Raw genomic sequence first — 17982 nt, 5'->3', positions numbered from 1 at the left:
CTACAGACTGCAGGGATCCAGCCTATATTTGCTGTGCTTAAAACCAGCTCTTAGCACCATATGACTAGACTGAATGAATGGATCACTGCGATGGTCTTCTAGCAGCCTCCTCCCCATACTCAAGTCCCTGCCCCGCAATCAGTTTTGCAGATGCAGCCGGAGTGTAAGCACCCCAAACTACCTCCTGCAGTTTCTGTTTCCTCTTCCCCCACCATCTCCTACCTAGGCAGAGGAGCTCAGTAATTCCTCCACTGCTTATGGACTAAAGTTCAAGTTCCTTATTATGCTGGGCTCTTCCTAAAGAATTCAATGCAGTGGGTAACAGCTTGGCATTGGAGTTGCAGAGTCCTGTGTTCAAATGGCTCTGCCCCCAAGAGCTGTGACTTCAGGTAACTACATCTTTGAGCCTCATTTCCCCATCTATAAGTAAGAGCTGCCTCGTCGTAAGAGTTGCCAAGAGGATTAAACGACACAAGTCCACACTCCCTTCTCTGAAACCCCTGGAGCCAGATGTGCTTTGGAATCCAAGACATTTTGGGTTTTAGAAAGGTAATACTGTGCAGATAACATTCCCGAGGGGTTTTGTACAATACCCTGTAATCAAATACATGAATACTCTACTACATGTATGAGTAATGTGAGTAGTACAGGTGTCCCTCAGTATCCATGGGAGTTTGGTTCCAGGATCCCAGGGGATGCCAAAATCCTCAGATGATCAAGTCCCTTATATAAAAGTGGTACATTGGTAAGAATTAAAGATCATAGCCTCATGCCACTTCAAGTCAAGTTGTGTGACAAACAGGTTCCTAAAAAGCTTTTGGTTGTCAGAGCTTGGTAGATTTCAGGGTCATGGGTAAGGACTGTGGGTGTGGATTTACCCATGCTCATCCCAATGCCCAACAGACAGCATCCTCCGCGTGGCCAGATGAGTGGCTCTTGTGGAAACTCAGGGCAGAGCTTCTCTTGCCACCTCGGCTTTACTGCAAGAATGTTCTGGCACTGCAGTGCCATATATACCTCCCTCTTAAGAACTGGGACTTTTCTTGGTGCCATAGAGCTCAGAGAAAACCAGAAATGAGAGACTGTCAAAACTGGCCTGGCCCTGTAGAAGTGTTTTTTTGGATGGACTCAATAATAAGCATATGTTAAAAATGTAAACTTACAAGGCAGGTTTCTATGAATAAACTACCAATTTTAGTGTTTTATCCACAGAAGATTTCATTTTTGAAAATCACCACTTTATGGGTATCTCTCCTCTTTAAGTGCCAACCTAAAACACTGCTCTCCTTTTGGTAATGATTCCCATCCTTAAAAAACCCAAATGTATTCTTTCATTCAACAGGTATTTACTAGGTACCACGTAGGTGCGCCAGGCTCTGCTCCCAACGCCAGCTTTCCATGAGGGCTTGCACCCCACATCCCTCCTCCAGACCCTTCAGGCACTCCAGTCTAGCAGCAGCTTTGTCCTAGACCAGTCATCTGACCCAGCTTCCCAACAAGGAGGTGAGAGATTGACAGTAGGGAACCTATCAGGCTCAATGTTACATCTTTAGTATCTCCCACGAGGCTCAGCACCCAGGAAGTGTTTAATGAATGGAAGGAGAGACAGAGGTGGGTCTGAATCCAGCTCTGCAATTTACTAGCTGTGTAGCCTTGGCCAATAACAACTTCTCAAAGCCTCTGTTCCCCTGTGTATACAATGATAATAAGAGGTACTTTATAGGGCAATGACAATGATTAAATGAAGCACTTTCACAACATCACCTGCACTGCAGGAAGTGCTCAGTAAGGGTAACTGAACGACTGGCCGAGGACTCCATAGGTGCTCCAGGGCCTGGGCTAGGGCTGGGCCAGGGACTTACCTTGGCAGTGCAGGTGGCCCTTAGTGGCTCAATGAGTCGGTCCACCCTCTGCAGGACAGGTGCAGGACACAGGGTGGCCAGCCGGGCAACCATGATGAAGGTCAGCATCTGCCCAGAGGAAGGAGATGGTTCTTAGTGAAATGGTGCAGGAGCAAGAGCAGCAGCCAGCCCTGGGAAAGAGCAGAGGCCCCACAACTGAAACCTGAAGCCCAAGTTCAGACCACCGTGAAGTCCTGCCAGAGTCTCTCCCTCTCTGGGTCTGTTTCCTCAAATGGTGACACTTTCTTTGCCAACTACACTTGGATGACCCAAGGAGGATCAGAAAAGCACCAGGGAGGGAGTCGTTCTCAAGCTCAGATGCCCACCAGTCAGGCAGATGCTGGGGATGAGTGAAGGGGGCTGCTGGGGCAGCTCTGGCTGAGTGTGGCCAGGTGGGAGTGCAAACATGTAGCTTGGGGCCACTGGATTGTTTTCAAAAGAAATCCCAATTTTCATGTAAAAAAAAAGTCTCGATTTTTAAATGTTGACACCTGATTTCAAAACCAAACAAAAACTTTTAACAACAACTAAACATGGCTGCAGGCCTAGATTCAGCCTGTAGGGGAATAATTGTCCTGTCTTTTGAAAATAGTCAAGTCCTCACAAAGAAGCCTTGCACACCATAAAGACTGGTTGTCTGAAATCCCCACGCCCTACCCATCTCCACACCCTGACCCCTAAGCCCCACAGCAAAGGAGGAGGCCCAGCCCACGGCAGCAAGGAGCAGCGGTGCTGGACTTCAGGAGCTATGACTCTTGGCTACTCCATGACCCTGTGCCCTAGAACTAGACAAGATTCCGTCTCCCCTGTGAACTGGGCGGTGTTCACTCCCTCTCTAAAGGCTCACTTGAAGACTTGATGACGCAAAGCTGTGGGCTCTATAGCTGTAACACCCACCCTCCTCACCCCAGGGGGTGGCAGCAGAGTGGACTCCAAGGCTGCACTGGTGCCTAGGCCCTGTCCTGCGCTCCTGGAGGGCAGGCATGAGAGGATATGGCCAGACTGGATGGAAGAAACAGACTTGCTCGATCCTGGAGAAAAATCCCCACAAGGTGGAGCTTTGGGCTGGCCCAGAACTCCTCACTCTGTGTCCTGGGGTCAGTAGCCCCACAAGATGCCTAATACCAGGCACACCCAGATGATGGAAGCTGAGTACACCCCTCCCGTCTGGAGCCTCCCGGAACCCTGTGGTGGAAAGTCCTGTTCAGCTTTGTGCGCCCCATCATTTTCCACTAGTTTGCATGGCATACACTGGAAAACCCAACCCCCTTTCTCAACCAAGATCTTGGGGCTGGAATCCCAGAGAACTTATGTTGTTTCTTCTTTTCTCTTTCTTGGGGGTTGGCAGGAAGCAAGAGTTTAAAGCAATAATAAAGCCGAGGGGGAGACAGGCAGACAGGAAGTGCAGGAAGGAGCGTCCCAGGAACTCCAAGTCTGGAGTGGTCAGAGGCACGCCCGCTGCAGGAGGTGCAGCCTCACCACGCGCATCGGATGCTTTAGCAGGAACATGCACTCCACCCTAGAAGCCCACCGATCACACCGTGGGTCACAGTAATGCACCAGGGTGTTCACAGCAGCATTGTCTGTAATTGTGAAAATGTGCAAATAACATACATGTGTAGCAGTGAGTGCAACAGAAATGGGAACTCCTGCAGCTGTTGACAGGACTGATATATATTGAAAAGCAAAGCAAACAACATACAGTAAATGTAAGTTAAAAGGCTGGGGAAAAAAACAGCATGTGTGTGATCCCATTTCTAGAAAACAGGTCTCATAAACTCATCTCCACAGCTTTGAGAACAGGGACCCCACCTCTCACATTGACCTTGGCGTGTTGGCACTCACTTAATACTGGCTGACTAATGAATGAGGGTCTATGTGCATCATCCCAAGAAACACACTGAGACAGCAGGCCTCTCTGGGTGTGGAGAAGCTTTTGGGTGATTATTACTTGCTTCTTTATTTGCTTTCATCTTGTGTAAATCTTTTAAAACAAGTATGGGTTACTTTTGATTACTTTGTATTAATTTTTCCTTATAAAAAGTGACTCACGCTTACAGTACATATTTTTTAAAGTTGTAATATGGGGCCGGGCGTGGTGGCTCATGCCTGTAATCCCAACACTTTGGGAGGCCGAGGTGGGTGGGTCACCTGAGGTCAGGAGTTCAAGACCAGCCTAGCCAACATGGCGAAACCCTGTCTCTACTAAAACATATAAAAATTAGCCGAGCGTGGTGGTGCACATCTGTAATCCCAGCTACTCAAGAGGCCGAGGCAGGAGAATCACTTGAACCCGGGAGGCGGAGGTTGCAGTGAGCCAAGATTGCACCAATGCACTCCAGCCTGGGCCATAAAGTGAGACTCCATCTCAAACAAATAAATAAAAACTTAAAAATAAAGTTGTAGTATAGCAGTTCCTTAAGACATTAAACACAGAATTGCCGTATGATCCAGCAATTTCACTTCTGGGTAAAGTGAAGAGAACTGAAGGCAGGATTCCAAAGGATATCGGAACACCTAGGTTCACAGTCGCATTACTCATAATAGCCAGAAGCTGGGAACACCCAAATATTTGTCCAGCGATGGATGAATGGGTAAACAAACTGGTGGTCTGTACATACAACACTGGGAAATTCTGACATGCTGCAACATGGATGAACCTTGAGGACATCAGACTAAGTGAAACAAGTTGGTCACAAAAGGACAAATACTGTATGATTCCACTTACAAGGGCAGAAACCTAGAGTAGTCAAATTCATAGAGTGTTGAATGGGTGCAGTTTTCAGTTTGGGAAGGAGAAAAGAGTTCTGAGATGGACAGTGGTGACGGCTGCACCGCAATGTGAATGTGCTTACTGCCACTGTGCTGTGCACTTTAAAATAGTGAAGATGGAGCCTGGCGCAGTGGCTCACACCTGTAATCCCAGCACTTTGGGAGGCCAGGGCAGGCAGATTACTTGAGGTCAGGAGTTCGAGACCAGCCTGGCCAATATGGTGAAACCCCGTCTCTACTAAAAATACAAAAAAAATTTAGCTGAGTGTGGTGGTGGGCACCTGTAGTCCCAGCTACTTGGGAGGCTGAGGCAGGAGAATCGCTTGAACCTGGGAGGCAGAGGTTGCAGTCAGCTGAGATCAAGCCACTGCACTCCAGCCTGAGTGACAGTGCAAGACCCTGTCTCAAAAAAAAAAAAAAAAAAACACTTCACCTGCAGATAGTAAGTTACTGAAGATAGTAACTTGTATTATTAATATTTCGCCACAATTAAATGATTTCTATCATATATGTGAATAAACTTTAACATTTAAAAAAATGATATAGAAAGATATAAATTGAAGAAACCGACGTCTCCACCAGCCCCAGACTCACTCTGTCTGTTAAGAAAATGGTCCTAACTTCTGGAACTAGCTCTTGCCACTCAACATTGGGGCTTGGAGCTCTTTCAGGTCACAACACGAAGAGATGCAGCTCGCTCCTCAATGCTGCTAGTATTCCACAGCTGAAAGTGCCCTGCAGGGTCAAAAATTTCGTCTGGGAATTTTTTTTTTTTTTTTGAGACAGGGTCTCGCTTTGTCGTCCAGGTTGGAGTGCAGTGGTGTGATCATGTTTCACTGCAGCCTCAACCTCCTGGGCTCAAGCCATCCTCCTGCCTCAGCCTCCCAAAGTGCTGGGATTACAGGCATAAGCCACCACACCTGGACAATTTTTTTTTTCTGGTTGCTGTGAAACCATCCTCCAAAGAGCCTGCCCAGTGTAGACTCCCACCAAAGGTGTTTGAGACACAGGTTCCTTTTCTTATCAGAAAACAACAATGCAGCTATTTTCATTGGGTGCCTGGAGTAGGGAGCAAGGACAAACAAGCATGGCCCCAATGGTGCCCGACTATCCCTTGGTACAGGGGCACATAGATCTGGCAGGGGGCTTGGTCTTACCCGGATGTCGTAGTGGTCCTTCAGCCCGTCCTCCACATGGTTCAGGAACTCACAGATATCCAGCTGGCCCAGGCAGCTCTCAAGCAGTGAATACATGCATTCAAAGGCCGCCTTCCGCACGTCCAGCCCATCGTCCACTGTATGTTTAAAGGGCCCCATCTCCACCTGCAGGAGGGATGAAGGTTGGTGATATGGCCCCAGGGTGTAAGGACACCTCTTCTAGCTTCTGCTACAAACCCCACATCTCTATTCCACAATCCATGCCAGCCCCAAATCGTGCCTTATACTCTCAAGTCTCCATGCCTTTGCTCAGCCTGCAGTGTCATTTCCCCCAAGTGATAACAGTGGCAATAAGAACAATTATTCTTATAATCTACTGAGCAGGCACTGTCTGAGTGGCAGGCACTGTGCTGACTGCTTGACTGATGACGTTTCATTCAAGCATCACAAATGCCATCAGAAGTAAATGTTACTGGCCAGGCACAGTGGTTCACGCCTATAATCCCAGCACTTTGGGAGGCCAAGGCGGGCGGATCATGAAGTCAGGAGATTGAGGCCATCCTGGCTAACATGGCGAAACTTCACCTCTACTAAAAATACAAAAAAATTAGCCGGGCATGGTGGCACGTGCCTGTAGTCCCAGCTACTTGGGTGGCTGAGGCAGGAGAATTGCTTGAACCAGGGAGGTGGAGGTTGCAGTGAGCTGAGATCGCGCCACTGCACTCCAGCCTGGGTGACAGAGCGAGACTCCATCTCAAAAAAAAAAAAAAAAAAGTAAATGTTACTGATCCCATTTAATGACAGATGAGGAAACTGAGTTGGGCAGGTTAATTAACTGAGCTGGACAGGTTAAGGATACACTGCTTGTAAGTGGCTGAACTGGAATTTAAAACCCAGGTAGGTTGGGCATGATGGCTGTCCTCCCAGCACTTTGAGAGGCCGAGGCAGGAGGAATTTGAGACGTCTGGGCAACATGGCAAAACCGCATCTCTACAAAAAAATACAAAATATTAGCTAGGTGTGGTGGTACACGCCTGTAGTCCCAGCTACTCAGGAGGCTGAGGTGGGAGGATCGCTTGAGCCCAGGAGGTCGAGGCTGCAGTGAGCTGTGATTGTGCCACTGCACTCCAGCCTAGGTGACACAGCAAGATCCTGTCTCAAAAAAAAACAACAAAAAAGACACCCAGGTCTTTCTGAAGCTTTCAACCATGAAGCCCTGTTTTAATGGTAAACACCTTTTCACCCTTCAAAGCCCAGCTTAAAGGGCCTCAATGCTGCTAGTATTCCACAGCTCAAACTTACTAAATCACCTTTAACCTCTGCCCCCGAATCCTTCCTTTACCAGGTGGGCTCTAAGTGAAACGCAGCTGCTCCTTGGTGTATGATGGGATTACATCACAATAGGTCCATTGTAAGTTGGCTTCCAGAAGCAATCCCATCATAAGGTGAGGAGCCTGCTGAACGCTACTGCTTTTGCACCATTGTAAAGTTGAACCATTGTAAGGCGGGGGCTGTCTGTAATCAGCAGAGTTGGCATCTCTGTCCTTTAGGGGGCCACGATGAACTCCTTGGTGGCAGAAACCCAGTCAGGCCCAACTCTGAGTCCTGGCACTTGGGCGCAGTGCAGATGTTCAGTGAACACCTGTCAAACATCAACATTTACTGAGCGCTGGCTGTGTGCCTGCGGTGGTTCTGAACACTTACAGGACCTCACTCACCAAATTGTTGCAGCAACCCTATGACGCAGACACAATTAGCACCCTCATGTGCTCACGAGGAGAAACTGAGGCTCAGAGAGGATCAGGTTGCCCTGGCTGGGGTCCCACAGCTCGGAGTCAGGGCAGGACTTGACCCAGGCCATGTGGCCCCGGCACCTGCTCTGATGAGATAATAATGCCCTAACAGTGAGGCATGAGAGGTGGCATCACCCCCAGCTTCCCCTGGGTCCCCAGCTCTGCTCCACACCTCTCGGATGAGGTCCCGCCGGATCTTTGTCTCCTGGTAGAGGAGGGGCAGGATGTCATCCAGCAGGTCCCGGACTAGCGAGGGCTTGTTGTGCACAGCTGAGTTGAAGAAAGCCAGAGTCGCACGGCGCACGTTCAGGTCTGGGTCCTGCAGGCTCTCCATGAACTCTCCTGGCAGAAGAACATGAGGGGCGTGGGGGATGCACAGCCAAAGCACAAAGTCACCTCCCTCACCACCCCGGCCATCTGGTTACTGTGCACGTGCAGAACTGGCTGAATGGGGGTAAGCTGGGTGTGGTGAGCATCTACTTTGTGCCAGGCACAAACAACCCTTCAAAGGCCAGATAAGAATGTGGGCTTGAGCTGATGTGGCTTCCATTCCAGCTCTACCAATTTACTGTGGGACCTTGGAGAGCCTCAATGTCCTCATCTGTAAAATGGGAGTCGTAACAGAACCTATGCTATGGGACTGTCTTTAGAATTTAAAATGTGGTGCCTCAGCATTATCTTGAAAAAAAAAAAAAGAAAAAAATTTTTTGAATGTGGTAATGCATTAAAAGCACAGAGCAGAGTGCCTGGCACACAGCACGGACTCTGTGAATGTGAACTTGTTATTACAGGTGAGGCTCTTAAAGATCAGAGAGGTCAAGAAACTTACACAGAGTCACCAGCACTTCTCAGGATACTCCTTTTTGTACAGTGCCATGATTTGTTTTTGTTTTGTTTTGTTGTTGAGACAGAGTCTCACTCTGTTGCCCAGGCTGGAGTGCAGTGGTGTGATCTCGGCACACTGCAACCTCCACCTCTCAGGTTCAAGCGATTCTCCTGCCTCAGCCTCCCAAGTACCTGGGATTACAGGCACGAACCACCATGCCTGGCTAATTTTTGTATTTTTAGTAGAGACGGGGTTTCACCATGTTGGCCAGGCTGGTCTCGAACTCCTGACCTCAAGTAATCCACCACCTCGGCCACCCACAGTGCCGAGATTACAGGCATGAGCCACTGTGCCCAGACTTGTACAGTGCTATGATTTGAATGTCCCCACCAAAACTCATGTTGAAACTTAATTGCCATGGTAATAGTATTGAGAGGTGATTAGGTCACGAGGGTGAAGCCCTGACGCATGGATTAATGCCGTCACTACAGGAGTGGGTCAGTGATCATGGGAGGGAGCTCCTGTTAAGCCCCGCCTCTCGTCTCTCTGTCTCCCATGCTCACTTCTGCCCTTCCTTCCACCATGGGATGGCCCTCACCAGATGCTGGTGCCATGTTCTTGGACCTCCCAGTCTCCACAACTGTGAGGAATGAATTTCTCTTCTTTATAAATTACCCAATCTGTAGTATTCTGTTATAGTAGCAGAAAAGGACTATGATATAGAGTTTAAACTTAAAAAAAATTTTTTTATTATACTTTAAGTTCTAGGGTACATGTGCACAACGTGCAGGTTTGTTACATAGGTATACATGTGCCATGTTGGTTTGGAAAAAAAAATTTTTTTAGAGATGGGGGTCTCACTATGTTACCCAGGCTGGTCTCAAACTCCTGGACTCAAGTGATCCTTCTGCCTCAGCCTCCCAAAGTGTTGGGATTACAGGCATGAGCCATTACGCCCAGCCATTATAGTTTAAACATTTTAGAATTGTTAATGTTTTATATACTTAATAAAGAAATAAGGATGGGGGAATCCCTAAAAATAAAACCAAAATGCAAAAAAACTGTATTTATCATTTTTTTGTTTGAGTCAAAAGACAGTCTCGCTCTGTCGCCCAGGACGGAGTACAGTGGCACAATCTCAGCTCACTGCAACCTTCATCTCCCGGGTTCAAGCGATTCTCAGGCCTCAGCCTCCCAGGTAGCTGGGATTATAGGCGTGTGCCACCACACCCCGTTTTTTTGTTGTTTTTTTTTTTGAGATGGAGTCTCGCTCTGTCGCCCAGACTGGAGTGCAGTGGCGCAATCTCGGCTCACTGCAAGCTCTGCCTCCCGGGTTCACGCCATTCTCCTGCCTCAAGCCTCCTGAGTAGCTGGGACTACAGGCGCCCGCCAGCATGCCCGGCTAATTTTTTTATATTTTTAGTAGAGACGGGGTTTCACTGTGTTAGCCAGGATGGTCTCGATCTCCTGACCTTGTGATCCGCCCGCCTCGGCCTCCCAAAGTGCTGGGATTACAGGCGTGAGCCACCGCGCCCAGCCTACACCTGGCTAATTTTTATATTTTTTGGTAGAGATGGGGTTTTGCCAGGCTGGTCTGGAACTCCTGACCTCAGGTTATTCTCCCGCCTCAGCCTCCCAAAGTGCTGGGATTACAGGAGTGAACCACCGTACCCATACCCACCCCCTGCAAAAACAAACCAACAAAAACTGTATTTAAAATGATCCACATAACCACCCAGCTTATGAAGGAGAGAACAAACCAAGCCACTTCGAGTATTTTGACTAGCTGCCCTCTAGCGAAACACAAAAAAACTACACACGAGTATTAGTTTTCACAGAGATAAGAGTCAGCAATTCTCAGACTACTTTCTGTGTATTTCAGGATTAAGAAAATAAATATCTTGTAGATAATGGGAGCTGGGTTTCTTACTGTAAGAGAAAGGAGTTACACATATGGAAAGGGGGCTAGACTGCAATACGAAGCAGCTATGAACTCAAGGTTTTCAAAATAGGTGGGTAGGTAGGTAGAAGAGAAAGAAGAGAGAGGGAGAGAAAGAGAGGCAGGGAGGGAAAGAAGGAGGGACAAAGAAAGATGTGCATGGGTGTGCATCTGGAAGCACATGTATACACGTATGTGTTTGTGTCTCTGCGTATAGACATGCATTTCCTAGTTCTGTCTGCTGAGAGGGCCTAGAAGCAATGAGGCCCCAACAGCAACAGGCACATCTAGTGTCCAGATTTTGGATTCAAAATACCATTCTCCACTAAAAGGAATCAGGACTCCTTGGAGAAATGGCTGATTCCAGGACTGGGGCAGGAGAGGTTCGCAATGAATCTGGAGCATCTCATCGTGCCAAAAGCAAGGATACACTTAAGAGAATGATGGAGGCTGGGCACGGGGGCTCACGTCTGGAATCCCAGCACTTTGGGAGGCTAAGGTGAGTGGATCACTTAAGCCTAGGAGTTCGAGACCAGCCTGGGTAACATAGCAAAACCCTGTTTTTATAAAAAAAATTTAAAAAGTAGCCAGGTGTGGTGGCTGGCGCACATCTGTAATCCCAGCTACTTGGGAGGCTCAAGTGGGAGGATTGCTTGAGCCTGAGAGGCAGGTTGCAGTAAGGTATGACTGTGCCATTGCCTTCCAGCCTGGGTGACAGAGTGAGACTCTCTCAAAAAAAAAAAAAAAAGATTGAAACATGTCAATAAAAAATAGGAACCAGCTTGAAGGGCTTCCAATGCATCAAAATTAAAGACAGTAACAGTATAGCCCACGGAATGAAGTGGGAAGAAGCCATGAGTCTCTAATGACAAATAAATTGATGAATAAATAAGTGGGAGAGAAGAAAAAGTTCTTCCAGACAGTAGAATGCAAACTTGTAACTATGGAAAGAATAATGGAACTAGAAAGTCACCATTTGGCAAATATCACAGTAATCATTGACCCAGGCAAGAAACAACCGTGGATGCTAAACCTAGTGGGCAAAAAAATTGATGAGAACAAGGATGTTTACATAAAATACTTATTTTATGTACTCAAAAATTCATATTCATTCCAAAGGAAAAAAAGAGTAATTTTAGAGTGGAGAGAAACCATGGCGGTATCCACCTGAACTGGGTGATCAAAGTTACCATCGCCAGCCAGGGGACAAGCCACCTCCATGTGCCCCTGATGTGATGCACTGGGAAGGGCAGGAAGGCTCCCAGCAGAGCAAGGATGCTCACAGCTCCTTGCTTGTGAGCATCCACTATGATGAGGTATATTAAAGGGCCTAGTGTGGTGCCTGATACACAGTGAGAGCTCAAAAACCAGTTCAAATGTTTTAAAGCAAGCCAGAACCCCCATGTGAAGGTCGCTGGTGGTGCTAGCCAAGGGCAGCTCCGTTACAATGGAGGAAATCAGGCCGGAGGGGGGGCATGTGCCCACTGCATTAGGGCAAGGGACAAAGTTGCTGCCGATGACCTTGCTAGAGCTTCTGCACGTGTTCTCCAGTGCAGAACACGGTCACGTCTGCTGGCCCCTTGGTCCCACATAACAGGCCCCTGGCAGATGAGTATCAGCACAACCGTTCCTTTTTTTTTATTTATGAGACAGAGTTTTGCTCTTGTTGCCCAGATTAGAGTGCAATGGTACGATCTTGGCTCACTGCAACCTCTGCCTCCCGGGTTCAAGCAATTCTTTTGCCTCAGTCTCTCAAACAGCTGAGATTACAGGTGCCCACCACCATGCCCAACTAATTTTTTTTTTTTTTTTTGAGACGGAGTCTTGCTCTGTCGCCCAGGCTAGAGTGCAGTGGTGCAATCTCCGCTCACTGCAACCTTCACCTCCCGGGATCAAGTGATTCTCCTGCCTCAGCCTCCAGAGTAGCTGGGATTACAGGTGCCTGCCATCATACCCGGCTCATTTTTGTATTTTTAGTAGAGACAGGGTTTCACCGTGTTGGCCAGGCTGGTCTTGAACTCCTGACCTCAGGTGATCCACCTGCCTTGGCCTCCCAAAGTGCTGGGATTACAGGCGAGAGCCACCGCACCTGGCCCAGCACCCCCATTTTATAGCTGAGGATGAGAAGACTTGTCCACACTCACACACCCAGGGAATAGCAGGGCCAGGATTTGAACCTGAGGCAGGTGAGCTCCAAAACCTCTCTCTACTGGGCTGCCCTGCCTAGATGTGGGCTGAGACTCCAGTGTGGCCCAGTGAGGGGCTGCAGGCTCCAAGCTCTGAAGGGGCGAGGGCTCTGCCTTCCTAGGAAAAACCCAGTGGTCCTGCCGAGCCCCAGAGGGAGGTCTCAGTTCCTCTCCTCCCAGTGAAGGCTGCTTGGGCTCCTCAGGCCAGAAGGCCCCTCAGACAGAGGGCGATCTAGTGGACAGGCGGGGCCGGGGGGAGCACTCTTCCCTGCCCCACTTTGGGGCCCGCAAAAGCTAAGGCATGTGAGAGGCTGGTGGTTTTCCATTCCCAAGAGTCTATATGTTGATGAAGCATCTTCTCCCTCAGTTGCCCATGGGCTTCCAGGACAACTCTAGAAAATGCAGATAATAAGAGTTTCTCACGCCCATTTGACAGATGAGGAAAGCGAGGCTTAGAGGTGTGATGGGCATGCCACACCCACCCATGATTGAGTGGCAGTAGGAAGGCAGGGATGTGAACCCAGGCCTTTTAACTGGAGGGCCAGGCCCTGCTGCCCATCATGGGCACACCTCCCGGGTCTCCCATTGCCCTTGGCTATTGGGTAGTAAACATCAGCCCAAGCTCAAGGACTGGGTGGGGGCACTGAACAAGGTGGAGGGGCAAGAGGTAGGTGCTCACCGATGAAGCTCTTCAGGAGGGGGTCAATGGGATGGGGCTGGTCCGAGATAAGGAACTTGACCGCTGTGATGACGGTGCTCCGGGTGTGTGGCCGACCTGCAGGACAAGAAGAGGTGAGTTAGTGAGGGGCAGGGGCCAATCCTGGAGGCTCACAGATCAGAAGGTGCTTAGGCTCCTCCCCCTGCTTCCCTGGAAAACAGAACTGTACCCCCTCCCCATCTCTGGGAAAGTGGATTCTACCATTTCCCTTGGCAGCCTTGAATCTCCCCTCAATTCTTCCTGCTGCAGCTGAAACAGTAGGACTGCCAGTGCTCAGGTAACACCACAGGCTGCAAACAGGGAACCAATAACCAAGACAGGAACTGCTCCAACAAAGACCTTCCCTCAGGCCTTGGGATTTTTCAGACATGTTATCTCAATGAGTCCTAACAATGATCCTATTAATAATAAAGTAGTATTAAAAGAACCAATAAAATCACCAATAAAAATCATCTCTTTGACATATGAGGAAAGAGAGACTCAGAGGGTTTAAGTTCATGTCTAGGGCCACACAGCAGATCCAGAATTCCTGGCTGGGCCCCTCTTCCTGGGGCTGCGTTCTGGCTGGTGGTCAGGGAGGCCTAACAGAACTCGGATCACCTCCAGGCTCGGTCACAGAGAGCTTGCTTACTTGTGCTTTGCCGCTTGCTTTCTGAGTAGAGAAGCCCAGTAAAGAGGGGAAGTACATTCCCTTAATGAAGGAAACGAATGGGTGGACGCTCCACCTGCGTCTGAATCTCTCCTCAGTGGCTCGCCCCCTTTGCTCCCTGCCCAACCCCAGCACAATGCAGTGAATGGGCTAAGGTGTTTCCACCCCACAGGCTTTATGTTCAGCCTCGAGGAAAAGTTTACCATTTGGTGCTAAGGCATGAATGAATGGAAGAGTTACTGAATTCAGACTTTCAGCTTTTACCTCTTTCCCTTGCCAGCCTGACTGGCTCCCAGGAAGATTTAGGGTGGCTGATGAAGACAGGCACAAGAGAGTAAGATTAAGTGAACTGAAAACAAGAACAAGGCCAAGGACGACTGAAGGCAGGGAGGTGAGAAGGAGACTAGCAGGAAGATGTACAGAGAGCATCAATAAGGAAGTCCCAGGAACCTACTAGAAGCAGACCACTCATCTGGCTCTAAGCTTCCCAGCAGTTGGTGCTAAAAAGGAAATGTGACCGGGTGGCTGGTTCAACAGTGCACGTGAGATAGAAACAAATAGGTGTTTAGGCAAAGCAGGGCTCCTCTGCATCTTAACACTCTCGTCTCTCAAGGTTGTGTGATGTAATAGACAGTGTCCTCAACAATGTTCTTCCATCCAGTCCTGAGGCCAGACAACTGCTTCTTACGAACCCAGCAACCCAAGAAGGCCTTAACTGAAATCACTAACCTACCTAGTAACAACAGCAGCTCTTGATTTACTCAGTATTAATTACTGTAGGTACCACATAGGTTACCAAACACTGTACCTGCATTCTGTCAAGCAGAGCATCCACTGGTTCTGTAAGGGGCCAGCTGGCCAGCTCGAAGCCCACTGGCCTTTCATTCTGGGAACTCTCATTTTCCTAGGAGCCTGATGACCCTACCTGTCTGCTTTCCACCTCCTGAAGCTAAGACACCTGGTGTGCCAAAACACGACAAGCCAAAACGCCTGCCCCTCCTGGTTCTTGCCCAGCCCTCTCCAAGCCTCGGGGGCATGTCAGCCTGTCCCCGTCTATACTGACGTCTGCTCTTGGCTCAGGCTAGCCGAAAGAGCTGACCCTCTGCAGGCTGCAGTCTACGGCTACTGGGAAAACTGTTTTTGTTGACCTCTGTGTGGAGCACTAAGCTACTGTCCACATCAAGGATTATGAAGTTGGCATCATGAGGTTTTTTGTTTTGTTTTTTTTTTTGGTAGAGGCAGGGTCTCACCATGTTGCCCAGGCTGGTCTCAAACTCCTAGGCTCAAGTGATCCACCCACCTCAGCCTCCCCAAAGTGCTGGGATTACAGACATGTGCCACCATGCCTAGCCAACATCATGAGATTTTTAAATGTATTTGTTGTAGGGACCAATCAAGGACTCTGTCCCTTCTATCCCACAGTCCCATAGGAGGAAGGCTTTAAGTCTCAGGTATCACTGTGTGTTCCTCTGTAGCTTCCTTGCCTCTGTCGTATAGATACCGTGATTCTTGTATCCAGTGACTTGAAATAGCTCACTCTGCCCCAGCTGCCTGGATGCTCAGTGGCAAACTGCCCACCTCCGAGGTGGGCTGCCTTGCCCACACCTGTGTGCCTACCTGCAGCAAGCTGCTTCCGCAAGCGGGGCAGAAGGAACGAAGGGTTCACAAGGACCAGCTTCCCAATGCACTCGGCCACCACCCCCCGGGTGCCCTCCTCAGCACCCTCGCAGCGCTGGAACAGCAAGGCCCAGATGTCCTCGGCGTAGGGCTTCAGGCTGTCAGGCTGGGCGGCCCCCAGGGCCTCCCTGAGTGAGTGCAGCAGCAGGTACTGTCGTCGGGGCTCAGCCTCGATCTGCTCCAGCAGGAAGGGCAGGAAGTCGGGCAGGCTGCCAGCACCCACACGGCCCAGTGCATACGAGGCTGCAGCCCTCACATCCTCACTGGGTGACCCCAAAGCTTCCAGGAGCACCGCCTTCAGCTCCCGCTGGTGGCCTGGCCCAGCCACCTGACCCACCTCAGCCAGCGACAAGAATGCCAGGACCTTGACCCCCGTGCTGGAGTGGGGCGACCTGGCATCGCAGACCAGGCGACTGGCTGTGCTTGCCGCCTCTTGGGGACAGGCAGCTGAGAGGGCTGCCACACACCGGGCCAATGAGTGGAACACCTGCTTGTGCAGGCCAGGCCCACCATCCACAGCCTGCTCATAAACAGGCGCAGTGAGCAGGCTGATGAGTTTGGCATAGTCCACACACGGGGGACGGGTCCCTACCAGGGCCTGCAGGAAGCCTTCAGCAGCTGCCAGAACCCCGGCTGGCAACAGGGGCGAACGCAGCAGCCGCAGCAGCTCTGAGAGCACAGGGCCACTGACCTCCACCAAAGAGGCTGGCTGGGCCTGGGTCACTGTGGCAAGGAAGTCCACAGCCAGCTGGGCCACATGCATGTCGCTCTCGTTGACCAGGGCAGGCAGCTCAGCCAGCACGGCCTGCACGGCAGACGGTGGGAGGCTGAGGCCCTGGCTCTGGGCCAGGGCGTCCAGGGCTGCCAGTGTGGCCAGTCGCAAAGCCCGCTGGTTCTTCCGCAGGAATGAGGCCAGAATGTGCAGTGCCTCGGCCAGGATGGGCTGTAGGTCAAGCTGTAGTGGGGATACGGCCACCAGCGTAAGCGCCTTGATGGCGGGCAGCCGGGTGATCTCATTCCGCAGGCGGTCCAGGAGGAGCAGTAACGTGGGCTCCAGGTCATCCCCAAGCCGGTCACCCAGGTGGCCTACAAGGTGGCCCATGCAGGAAATGGCCCGCTCCTTCACCTCCTGGTCCAGGTCAGTGGCACGAAGTCGCGCCAGGGTGACAGCAGACATCTCTCCAACATATGGCTCAGGATCCAGCATCCGAGGCCTGTGCAGCGGCCACAGGGCCCGCACCAGCTCCTGCAGCACCACCAGGGCCTCGGCTGCAATCTTGTAGAAAGAGTCAGCCACACAGGCCATCACAGGTGGCAGGAGGATAGGCAAGTGTGGGTGGAAGGCCTCAGCTGGTTCGGTGCCCAGCAGCCCCTGCAAGAAGGCCAGGGCATCCATCCGGATGGTGGAGGAGCTGGAGCGGTCGGCCAGCGAGAAGATGATGCCTGCAGGGTGAATGCAAAGGTTATGAGGCCACCGCCTCTGATGCAACACGGCCCTCCCTGGAAGCAAGGCTGGGGTACCTACAAGTGCCTGAGCTGGACTGAAGCACCTAAACTCTTCTGCAGAAGTTTCCAAGAAGTCAGCCCTGACCAGTGGCCAGGGCTGAGGGAAACATGTCCAGGGAACTCACTGGAGCCAGCCTTGTTCTCACTGCTGGTAGTGGGAGGCCACTGGAGACTCTTGACCAGGGACTGAGCCTGGGATTGGGTCTCAGACTGTCTCAGGAACTGGGGGCTCAACTCAGGGGTGGGGTCTGGGTTCTGGAAGTGGCCCAGAACAGCAGATACCTGGTTGCAGTCCAGCCTACCTGATACCAGCACAGGCATATGCTCGGCCAGGCTGCCTGGGAGGACACCCGCCAGCTCGGTGAGGAGGCTGAAGCATCCCTGGCGGGCTCTGACGCTCCGATCTTTAAGCTGCCGCTGCAGGGCCTTGACCACAAGGGGCACCTGTGGGCAGGAGGGGGAAGTCAAGGTCAGGGAACACCCAAGAAACCTACCCACCTGCCCACTACCAGGAGGCTTTGCCAGACACATCCCCAGGGAGGATGTCGGCATCAAGATATCTCCCAAGCACTCGTCCCTCACTCTGTGCCAGGCTTTTGGTGACCGCACACAGACCCTTGGAGAGTAGGCAAATTTTCTGCGTCCATTTTACAGGTACAGAGAGACCAAGCAACTTGCTCAAGCTCACTCAGGCAGGCTGGCTGTCACTACTACACTCCAGAAGCCTGGCTGGCTCCCGCCCCCCACCCCAGGGACCCCTTCCCTTCCCTTCCATGGCTGGATGTTCTCCCAGCTGAGTTTCCAAGTCCAGGGACACTAACAGTGAGTGGCTGGGTAGGCAAATCGGGGGTAGGGGTG

General features: G+C 50.7%; 1 protein-coding gene across 4 annotated transcripts in view, besides 1 other annotated feature; it reads right to left on the bottom strand.

Moving 5' to 3' along the window:
• The window catches only part of CAND2 (cullin associated and neddylation dissociated 2 (putative)), a 38124-nt gene that overhangs the window by 1369 nt on the left and 18773 nt on the right, over positions 1–17982 (bottom strand). For 2 of the 4 annotated variants that reach the window (NM_001162499.2, XM_011533504.3), the window contains exons 9-14: positions 17427–17568; positions 15559–17061; positions 13254–13349; positions 7796–7965; positions 5831–5995; positions 1863–1970 (exon numbers count right to left, since the gene is read on the bottom strand). In NM_001162499.2, the coding sequence (NP_001155971.1) occupies positions 1863–1970; positions 5831–5995; positions 7796–7965; positions 13254–13349; positions 15559–17061; positions 17427–17568 (2184 nt within the window). Of the gene's footprint in view, positions 1–1862; positions 1971–3835; positions 5409–5830; positions 5996–7795; positions 7966–13253; positions 13350–15558; positions 17062–17426; positions 17569–17982 lie in introns of those variants that run through there. The other 2 variants (NM_012298.3, XM_011533503.3) reach the window with 2 other exon arrangements.
• Positions 2364–3312: an enhancer, noted in NCBI's record as "H3K27ac-H3K4me1 hESC enhancer chr3:12871622-12872570 (GRCh37/hg19 assembly coordinates)". NCBI's record gives its function as "activates a minimal SCP1, AML or CMV promoter by ChIP-STARR-seq in naive and primed H9 embryonic stem cells {active_cell/tissue: H9 hESC(naive and primed)}" and the evidence as "EXISTENCE:reporter gene assay evidence [ECO:0000049][PMID:30033119]".

This window comes from Homo sapiens, chromosome 3, assembly GCF_000001405.40.
Source record: "Homo sapiens chromosome 3, GRCh38.p14 Primary Assembly".
In the NCBI taxonomy this organism is placed as follows: Eukaryota; Metazoa; Chordata; class Mammalia; order Primates; family Hominidae; genus Homo; species Homo sapiens.
This window is presented reverse-complemented; position numbering and strand designations above follow the sequence as displayed.